Below are 10,822 nucleotides of genomic sequence, written 5' to 3'. Positions count from 1 at the left end.
GGGATGGAGGAAATGTTAGTGGTGGTCAGGGGTGGGGCGTGACTACACAGCTTCAGGATGGGAAAGGTTTTTTGGTGATGAAACTATTCTGTATTCTGACTATGAGGCTGCTCACACAAATTTGTGTATGAGTGAAAACTGGACACCAAAACAAACAAACAAACAAACAGAAAAGGGCATACAATTGTATTGTGTGTTATTTTTTAAAATAAATTTTAAAAATGAAGGAAGACAAAACATAAAGCGTAAACTACATTGCCAATTTTTTTTTTCTTTTTTGAGAGAGAGTCTTGCCCTGTCACCTAGGCTGGAGTGCAGTGGTGCCATTTCAGCTCACTGCAGACTCCACCCACAGGTTCCAGCGATTCTCCTGCTTCAGCCTGCTGAGTAGTTGGGATTACAGGGGCATGCCACCACATCCAGCTAATTTTTGTATTTTAGTAGAGACAGGGTTTCACCACGTTGGTCAGGCTGGTCTCGAACTCCTGACTTCAAGTGATCTGCCCACCTCGGCCTCCCAAAGTGCTGGGATTACAGATGTGAGCCATCGTGCCCTGCCTGCCGATTTGTTTTTAAGTAATGGTTTGGGGGAAAATAAATTATTTGGTAGATTTAGAAAACAAATAACATATGTACCTTGCTTTTGAGTCTTGGTTGATAGTTCAATTGGCCCTCACTAAGAGAACTATTGGAACGCCTGGCAGCCCAGGAGAAGGACTTTGAGTTTTGTCCTAAATGCCATGGGACGCCATCATCACAATGATTGTAAACATTCTCAGAATGCCATGGAGGGAAGGGATTCTTTGTTTAACAGGAGAAACAAAAACTCATTAATAGACAATGACTTCTAAGGACCACTTGTGACAGGCACCCACTCCCTGCTTGGGATTTCGCCTAAGGAAACAGGAAGAAGCTTCCAATGCCTTGTGGATTTGTTAACTTTTGTTACGCTCAAAAACAAAAGGAAAACAGAAGGAAAAAACCATTTGCCAGTATACTGGCTATATTACTTTCATTTGAGTAGGATCTCAAGGCCAAATATGGTCCTTCAGTGATCTGGGGGTCACACCCGTCCCTTTCCATGAGTGCAAATAATCAAAAGTTGGCCTGTTCATTCTACTTTATCAGCAAATATCTTGTTTTTAAGGGTTTCCAGGAATTGTACCTAAATTTTAATTCCTTTTCCAATTAGTCAGTACTCCAGTTGGAGGAACTGACATTGATTATAACCACTCCATCTATCAATGCCGCCTTCTCAATCCACTTTCCTTTCTTCTTTGTTTTCTAACTCACTGGCCTAGGAGACTAGTGGTGCTGCTAATTCTGCAGAGTTCACAAAGTTTCTTTCAAATACAGTTTTTTCTCCTTCGGATTTGTTGAATGAATGAATGAGTCACCATGAGATTTCAATCCAATAGATTTTTGTGTGTTTGCTTTATGAGGAATGAAATGGAACGTCATGACTTCAAGGGCCCCAGGGACATGTGGATGGGTTTCTACAGAATGTAATGCAACTTTGAGTGAGCGTTTCTGGGCTGAGAGTCCATATCTTTCAGAAGAATTTGAAAAGGCCCCAGGATCCCTTCAAAAGTTAATAACAGCTGACAGTTTCCCAGTGCCTTTTGCTGATGGCTGATTGGATGGGGGCCATATTTTAGGTGCCCTGACTGCCTCTTCTAGAGGTGGCGTGGGGGTGTCTGGAGGATGGAGTGAAGGTGGTCAGCTATGGGAGTGGGGGTGGGGGGTGGGAGAGAGCAGGGCTTTTGAAGATGCTTCTGTATTTGAGTCCTAGTATTTCACTTTGTGGAAATTGCTTAATCTCTCTGAGCCTCCATTTCCTTATCTATAAGATGGGATCTAGGAAAATGCACTTCCTAGCTCATACAATAGCTGGGGGGAAGGGAGGGTGTTCAGTAATACAATGTACAAATGAGATAGCTATACAATGTATATATATGAAAACTACTTCCTAGATCGTAGGGTAGCTGGGGGGTTCAGTGATACAATGTACATATGAAATAGGTATACAATGTATATATATGTGAAAACTACTTCCTAGGTCCTAGGTAGCTGGGGGTTTCAGTGATACAATGTATATCTGAACATATATACAATGTATAGCTTGGATTTAATGATACAATGTACGTATGAATACATAGGTACAATGTGTATGTATATACAATTATGACTGAAGCATAACAGTTCCTTTTCAGTGCAACTTTCTCTCGCTATGGTTATGACAGCTGTCATAGTAGTTGCCATTGATTGAGGACTTACTATGTCTTAGTTACTCTCCCAAACCTTTTTCCATGTCTTATTCCACTTAATCTGTCTAGGAAACCTTTGTGGTTGCTCCTGTAACACTGAAAGGCTCCGAGAGGATAGATAACTTGTCTAAGGTCACACAGCTAGTGAGTGGCAGAGCTGAGACTTGAATTCAAGTCTATCTGACTTGAAAGTTTGTGGCACCAGCTACCAGGGTGGAGTTGCATTCACTGTATGCCATGCTCCCTGCTTGAGCCCCAAGGGAAGTGGTGAGGGCAAGTGTTGGCGCATCTGCCAGATCTACCTTAAACACCCCCTGCCCCAAGTACAGGCATGTGCAAAGTGCCTGAGAGCCCAGCCATTTTGGTGGATGTGGGCCAGGTCAGCAGAGACTGTGCAATCTGTTCTGACTGTTAAGGTGGAGGTAACGCTAGGCTGAACCCCAGAGGACTCCCGAGGCTCTGGAGCAGGTGAGGAAGGGGGATGTCTGGAGCCACCCCCAAGGCCTGTGGCTCTCCCTGGCAGAGTTTTGCTGAGGCATATGATGCATACAAAATGCTCTGTGTACACTTGTGTAGGAAAAATCACCACCTCTGCAGAGGCTTGTTTACTAGGAGGGGAGGCGCATTCACAAATGAATAAACAAAAACAAGACCCCAGTCACTAATAAACATGGACCGCTGCACTGCAGGGTTCCCCTCTTCCTGCTGGGCCACCTCTGCCCGTCAATGGGTCTTGCAGCCCCGCCTGCCCCCCGTCGTGGTGTGTGAGCCCTGCAGGGTCAGAAACGCTAGGCTGAGTCTCCACCACCTACTCCACCACCTAATGGTTGAGTAACTTGGCTTTTAGCTCTGCAAGCCTGAGAGTCCTCACCTAAGTGTGACATGGGGCTAATCCTTCCCTTAACAACACCCATTTAGCACACTGCTGTGACCATGCAGTGAAATCGAGGACATTGTAAGAGGTTGCCACATGATGAGTATCTCCTTAATAAATGCTTTTCCTTCTAAGTGCTAAATAAATCTGAAAGAATAAATACACGTGAACTCGGAAAGGAAAGTTCTCTAGTCTCTCTGTGATTGGAACACACCATGTCTCTGGGCTCCCTTCACTGTGCTCTAGCGTGAGCGCTCTCTGCATGCTGGAATTGGAATTCACCCTTCTTGCCGTCCTGCTTGTCCTCCACAATGCACCCCTTTAGGCTCTCAAATGCAATCATTGCTGTGTTCTAGAACGGTGGTTCTCAAACTGGCTTCTTCCTTTGCAGTGTGCAGCATTCGGTGGCAGCCAGGGGTCATCTCAGAGAGAATGGGGGTTGGGGAGGTGGGCTGCAGACATGCTCTGGAGCCTGTGTGTGGTGGATTCCTTTCCTGGCATTGTGTTTATTCAACATGAGCCATGTTGCAAGGAATGGATTTCTACTAATTGTTCAAGCACCCACAGCTGCACATGTTTTGCTCTTAAAAATCTAAGAGTAGGTTCAGGCTTCTCCAGTTGTCTTTCCTACCCACCTCCCAGTGTGCTTTCTTGCCTGGGGCCAGTGCTTAGGACCTAGACATCTTAGGGGCCATTATTCAGGTGCCCGCAAATGGTAAAGAACACAGCGCTAGGAAAAGGTGAGAGCTTTACTACCCAAGCTACCTCCTTCTCCTGCTGTGCTTCCCATGGCACGGATCCATGACTGGCAGCTGAAGGGAAGGGGACCCGCTATCACTGCGCTGTGCTGGAGAGAAGGTTGGGGAGCAGCGCTGGAAGAGCAAATGCAAAAAACAGGTGTGAGGACATGAAAAGCTCCCAGCAAATGCTGTTTGTAGCCCTGGAGGGAGGGGGCAGTGACCATCAGGAAAACAAAAGGCTTCAGTAGCAGAGGTCACTCCTTGGCCCATTAATCCTTTGTGCTGGGGATTTTACAAGCTGTCAGCCCTCCTCCTTTGGGTCTGAGGGAGGGGTTGAACTCCCCCATTAGCTTTATGATGGCAGTTTTTCCTCCAGACACTACAGGGAGGTAATGCTTTGAGGATTTCTTGAGTTTGTCCCTTCTTACCAGTTAATAACATACTTGAAATGCTTGTTACCATGTGGGATGGGGACACAGCCTAACCAAGGCCCTTTCTAATCTGGGTCCTGCTTAATTTATGAATGCCCTCAGCATGTAACTCTGAATACCGGCCACATGGAATCATTTGCAATTTTCCTGAGCAATCCACACCCAGGCCTTTGCACAGGCGGTTCCTTCTGCCCGGAGCACGCACCTGACTGGTTCCTACTCATGCTTCAGAACCCAGCTCAAATATGGAGCTGGGGTTGGAATCTAGACCTGTCTCCACCTAGAACCCAGGTCTGTCTTCTTCTGGAATCCAGGTCTCTCTCCCTCCGAATGGCTTGGTCTTTACTACACAGTGGGACACACAGACCCTGGCCATGATCTGGGCTCCCCTATCCTACTTTTACCTCCTAGGACTTCCCGTCTAGAGCCCCCGGCCCAACTCCAGCCACTCTGGGCTCCTTCCTCACACCCAACGTGCGAGTCCCCTCCCTGGCCTTTTGCACGTGCCATTCCCTCTGCCTGGATGCCTTTCTCCCAGGTGTCTTGGAACTTTCTCCCTTCCTCGGGATATTTGCTCTGGGCGCTTTAGGACCGTGGCCCTCCCTGCCCATGCAAAGCGGCACCCCCAGTGCTCTGCAGTCTCCAGCCCTCCTCTGATTTTAAAAACCACACCATGAGGTGACATCACCAATATTGTTTGTTTTTCCTGATCTCCCCTGCCCCCACTAGTTGGCAAGCCCTACAGGTCCAGGACTTTATCGGGTGCACCTGCTGTATTCTCAGCCCCAAGATTAGCACCTGACACATGGCAGGTGCTGAATAAGCATCTGTTGGGTGAAATAATGCTGGACTCTCTCCAGGGAAGTTATTGGCCCAAGGTCATGCAGCTGTTGCTGGTGTAGATCCCAGTACTAACCCGACTGAGAGAAAAGTATGTAACAAAAGTCAGAGTGTCATTGCATCTGTGTGCATGATGGAATATTATTCTGCCACGAAAAGGAATGAAGCAGAGGCACTTGCTGCAACAGGGATGAGCCCCACAAACACGCTGAGCGAAAGCAGCCAGATGCACATAGCCACCCACCACCTGGTGCTGTTTAAAGGGAATGTTTAGAAGGGGCAAATCTACAGACACAGAACATAGGCTGCTGGTTGCCAATGGCGGAGGAAATAGGAAGCTTTTGCTTAATGGTGGTTTCTTCTTGAGGTGATTCAAATGCTTTAGAACTAGACAGAGATGGGGGTTGTACAACAATGTGAATGAACAAAGTGACATTGAATTGTTCACTTCCTTATAATTATTATGATTGTTATTATTTTAGACAGAGTCTTACTCTGTCACCCAGGCTGGAGAGCAGTGGTGCGATCTGGGCTCATTGCAACCTCTGCCTCCTGGGTTCAAGTGATTCTCCTGCCTCAGCCTCCCGAGTAGCTGGGATTACAAGTGTGCACCATCATGCCTGGCTAATTTTTGTATTTTTAGTAGAGACAGGGTTTCATCATGTTGCATCGGCTGGTCTCGAACTCCTTGACCTGAGGTCATCCACACAGCCACCCAAAGTGCTGGGATTACAGGTGTGAGCCACCACGCCCAGGCTGAATTGTTCACTTTAAAATGGTTAATTTTATGTTATGTGAATTTCTCCTCACTGAAAATAGCTCATGCACGCGCGTACACCCCCCCCCGCCCCCCCTGACACACACGCGAGAATCAATATCCTGGGTGTGACATTGTACTATATAGTTTTGTGAGATGTTACCATAGGGGTGAACTGGGTGAAGGGTACATGGGACCTCTCTATATTATTTGTTACAACTGCATGTGAATCTATAATGATCTCAAAATTTTAAGAACTGTTTCAAGGATTGTTATTGCAGATAGAAGATTGTAGATACTTATGTAAACTTCAATTACTTTGAAGTATAAAATTCAACAAATGTCTACCAAGCACACACGGTGAGCAAAAGGCAGAGTGGGGCTGGTACCTCCTGCCTGCCTATGCCGTGGGCTGGTACCCACCGCCTGCCTATGCCGTGGGGCTGGTACCCACTGCCTGCCTATGCCCTGGCCCTGCCCTGGAGTGTCTGGGAGTTTCCAGGTCTTCCCCTCAGACTGTCTTGGGAGCAAAACACAACAGCTGTCTCACGCCCCAGACGCCGGGGTTATCATGTTTATGCGCATGAAGCCACTGAAGATGGAAAATAGACAAGTTACAGGGTCTAGGTTATGCTGAGGAGTAAAATAGTTGATAAAAATGAAAATCAAGCCCAGCTTTCATCCAAACTGAAGCTGGCACGGGCTACAGAAGTTCGGTGTGTTTGCCCTGTAGCTGGCATCAGCTGGAATCAAGGCCTCCTAACATATGTTATGCAGCAAGAACGGATTGGATTATGAAGCTGTGTCTCAGGGTTGCCCAATTTGGAAGAAAAAGGGATTTTGAAGTTGATGGAACTTAAGCAGGGAGTTTGGCACAAACCCATTCTCACAAACTCCCTCCTGGGTGTTCCTGCTGAATAACCCCCTCTTGCCGCTGCACGATTGGGCATCGCTATTCACTGAGGGAAATGCCCCTCAGCGGTGTCTTTGGGATTGGAGGGCAGAGTTCTCAGTCCTCACATTTACCCACTGGGGCTCCGAAGCGCCCATTTTCAGGGGTTAGTTACAAAGGTAACATGGAGAAGGTCCCTGCAAGGTGCTCGTGAAGCCATAACCACTCTCAAAGGCATGAAAATTTCTCATGTTTAATAGAGAGCAAGCAAGCCTCAGCTCAGAGTCATGAGAAGGCAATTATAGCTAACATTTTTCATTATATTTATTTGTATGCTTATCTTCTTTTTAGGAAAAAATGATACTAGCGATTCATTTATAGTGGGGTATGTCATTACCATTTAAGATAATTAAGCAAAAAATGAGTGTATTTGGAGAAAACACTAAGTTGATGCAGATAGAAATTGTAGATGGATGCTAAAACCATGGGTGAAAATGTATTGGGAACCGGGCAGTTACACCTCTCTGTGTATGTCCCTGCAGATTAATGATGAATTACTAAGGAAAGATAAGAACCGTGGGGGACCCCACACCATAGCTAAGTGATCAAAATCCACATCACTGTTAATGGAACAAATGGCATCGTGTGCCTCTGATATGGGGCACTGAGAAGGGAATGCCTCCACTTCTGGGGTGTTCCTGCTGCAAATCATAGCCAGAGTCTCATCACAAGGACACAGCAGAATAACCCAAATTAGGGAAACTTTATAAAGTAAGTGACTCCAAAAATGCCAGTGATGTGAGGAACAGCAAAGGACTGAGGAATGTCTCAGATTAAAGGAGATTAAAGCGATGAGACGATTAAAGGCAGCACATTCTCCCCCACTGGAAAATGTTGCTGTGAAGGACAGTTGAGACGACTGGGGAAAACTGAATATGAGCTGTGTATGAAAGCATAGCAGATTATTAGTGATAATGTTCCTAAATTTCACAGTTGTAGTTCTTTCAGAGAATGCCCCTGTTTTTAGGAGATATATATTGAAGTACACATTTGATAGGGGTACTTGTGTCTAAAATTACTCAAAAATTGTCCAGCAATAATATAATTGTGTGTGTGTGTGTGTGTGTGTGTGTGTGTAGAGAGAGGAGAGAGAGAGAGAGAAGAGAGCACTGTCGGGTGTTGGAACCAAAGCAACTCCGTCTTGAGTAGGAGCTGGGTAAAATAAGGCTGAGACCACTGGGCTGCATTCCCAGGAGGTTAAGGCATTCTTAGACACAGGATAAAGTTACAGGTCATAAAGACCTTGCTGATAAAACAGGCGGCAATAAAGAAGCCAGCCGAAACCCACCAAGATGGTGATGAGAGTGACCTCTGGTCGTCCTCACTGCTACACTCCCACCAGCTCCATGACAGTTTACAAATGTCCTGGCAATGTCAGGAAGTTACCCTGTATGGTCTAAAAAGGGGAGGCCTGAATAATCCACCCCTTGTTTAATATATCATCAAGAAATAACTATAAAAATGGGCAACCAGCAGCCCTCGGGGTGCTTTGCCTATGGAGTGGCCATTCTTCATTCCTTTACTTTCTTAATAAACTTGCTTTCACTTTACTGTATGGATTCACTTCGAGTTCTTTCTTGTGTGAGATCCAAGAACCCTCTCTTGGGGTCTGGATCGGGACCCCTTTCTGGTAACAGCACTATTCCAGCAAACTGTTACTGGGTGGCTCTATGGGAAAGGCATACGTTTGTTCACTTACAGCTTTCCTGTAGGTTTGACATTTTCCAAAATAAAATCTTTTAAAAAGATAAATGAAATACCCGGTAAATAAGCAAAGATGTGATTTGCACGTGTGGAGTGGGCACAGCCCTACTCAGTCTCTGGTTGGGGAAAATGGGATGAGCAAATCTCTTGGGAGTCTCCCGGCTTTCACGTTCAAGGGTACTATCCCCACCAGCAAATGAACCATTTTCATATTTTCCACTCATAAAGCACATATGAAAATTAGCTGGGGGAAACAAACAAACAAAAAACCCGTGAGTTTCGGCAAGTTTCCTCCAGGGGCCTACAAACAAGCTCTTGTGCAGGTTCCTCTCATAAACAGGGTGCACAAAAACACAGGCTGACTTCCTCCTTCACCAAGAGCTCCTGCAGCTTCACAACCACTCTGCAGTGCATTCTTTTCTTTCGTTTCTTCCATGCTTCTGGTGAGGTTTACTGGTGAGTTCTGTTTGCTCCTTGCCACCTTGCAGTTAAGAGTTTTTCCAAGCGCCCATTGTTCCTGCTGAGTGCCTAATTGTTATTTCTTAGGCAGAATGAGCAGCCCCCTGAGACGTCTGGTTAGTTTCCAAGAGGGTCCTGGTGAGAGGTGGAGAATACCGGCCACCACCAGCAACCTTAGACAGCCAGGCAGCCCCAGGGAAAAATAAAACCTGCGCCCTGGGCCTTGAAATGAAGCCTGAACACGATATCCTCTGCCACAAACACCCATGAATAATGGCCCTGCCTGCAACAACGTCTGGCCCTGAGACCAACCAAGCCAGCCAGGAGTTGTAATCCCAGGACAAGACACGTTGTGGTACGCTGGCTTCCAGGGCTTGCTACTCACTTGGAGATGCCGTAGGAAGAAGCAGGCTTCCAGTGAGATAGACCTGGAGGGTGGGATCAGCCTCAAAAGCCTTCTGCTCAGCGACACCAACCATCCCGGGTCTCCCTGCCAGACCCTCTTCAGTTGAGAGGCCTGCTGCATGGGCCGGCACTGCGGGACGCCGTGGGAAGCCAGCTCCCAGGGTATTTGGGGAAAGGGTGTGCCCTGCTGCTGCATCCGGGGTCTGGGTGGGACCTGGGGGGCTGCATGGCTAACAACCTCCCTGCGGCTGCTGCGGCTGCTCCAAGGTCTTCATCCCATGGAACAGTCTGTCCCCAGCACAAACCTGAGTTGCAGAACTCACTTCTGACATGGGGGCCTCTGAGGAAGACACTGTTACATCTCATGCATTTTACTGTAAAACCGAGCTGCTGCAGTTTAGGACAGCCCCGTGCTGAGGTCAATCAAACCCACCATTTCCAAGCAGGGTTGGTATGCAGGCAGAGTGCGTGCTTGGACATCAGAGAGGAGAAGAATGTGCCAGTAATCACAAGTGCAGACAAACAGGGCACTGCCCAGAGCACCCCGATCAGAAGCAAATGTGTTCCCAGGGATGCTTGTCAATATGTCCATGTCCCTTCTGTGTTGGCTGCTCCCTTGGGCTATGGGATTTGCCATTTTATTCCACACTGACAGCGCCCTTCAGGCCAGAAGAGAGCACCACCCCAAGACGGCGCTCACCTTCCTGTGGCTCTTTCAGGCAATGCCCTGCCATTTGCCATGAGTGTGGGAGACCTGCAGGGGCTGGGGGTGGACAGGAGGCTGACAGGGCTCTGCTGTTGACAAAGGCCCACTTGAAGTTGAAAAGATGGCCAAGAGACACCCTGGATGTGGAGGAATTGGAGCCACCTACACTGCGGATGGGAGTGAGACACAGTGTAGGGCCAAGGAAAACAGCCAGGCAGCTCCATAGTAAGTGAAACACAAGAGTTCTAGGACCCAGAGATTCCACTCCTGGATATGTACCTGAAAGAACCAAGCACAGGTGTTCAAACAACAGCGTGCACGTGAATGTCCACAGCAGCATTACTCACAGTGGGCGAAAGGCAGACACAACCCACGCATCTATCAATGGATAAACAAATGTGGTCCATCCACCCAGTGGAATATCACTTAGCCACTAAGAGGGAATGAAGCTCTGACACATGCTACAACCTGGATGAAGCTTGAAAACATGATGCTGAGTGGAAAAAGCCAGAAACAAGGTCACAAGTTGGATGATTTTATGTCTATAAAGTGTCCAGAATAGGCAACTCCATAGACAGAAAGCAGATTAGTGGCTGGCTGGGCAGAAGGGAATGGGGAGTCATCAATGAATTGGGTACGAGGATTCCTTTTGGGGTGATAAAATCTTCTGGAACTAGGTAGTGGTGA

The 10,822-nt window shown here is 47.2% G+C and overlaps 2 annotated features.

The window, feature by feature from the left end:
* Positions 3,867-4,582: an enhancer, noted in NCBI's record as "NANOG-H3K27ac-H3K4me1 hESC enhancer chr16:87132609-87133324 (GRCh37/hg19 assembly coordinates)". NCBI's record gives its function as "activates a minimal SCP1, AML or CMV promoter by ChIP-STARR-seq in naive H9 embryonic stem cells {active_cell/tissue: H9 hESC(naive)}" and the evidence as "EXISTENCE:reporter gene assay evidence [ECO:0000049][PMID:30033119]".
* Positions 8,818-9,744: an enhancer, noted in NCBI's record as "NANOG-H3K4me1 hESC enhancer chr16:87127447-87128373 (GRCh37/hg19 assembly coordinates)". NCBI's record gives its function as "activates a minimal SCP1, AML or CMV promoter by ChIP-STARR-seq in primed H9 embryonic stem cells {active_cell/tissue: H9 hESC(primed)}" and the evidence as "EXISTENCE:reporter gene assay evidence [ECO:0000049][PMID:30033119]".

The sequence above is a fragment of the Homo sapiens genome, chromosome 16, assembly GCF_000001405.40.
Source record: "Homo sapiens chromosome 16, GRCh38.p14 Primary Assembly".
In the NCBI taxonomy this organism is placed as follows: domain Eukaryota; kingdom Metazoa; phylum Chordata; class Mammalia; order Primates; family Hominidae; genus Homo; species Homo sapiens.
The sequence above is the reverse complement of the archived record's forward strand: the minus strand, read 5'-3'. Positions and strand labels throughout refer to the sequence as shown.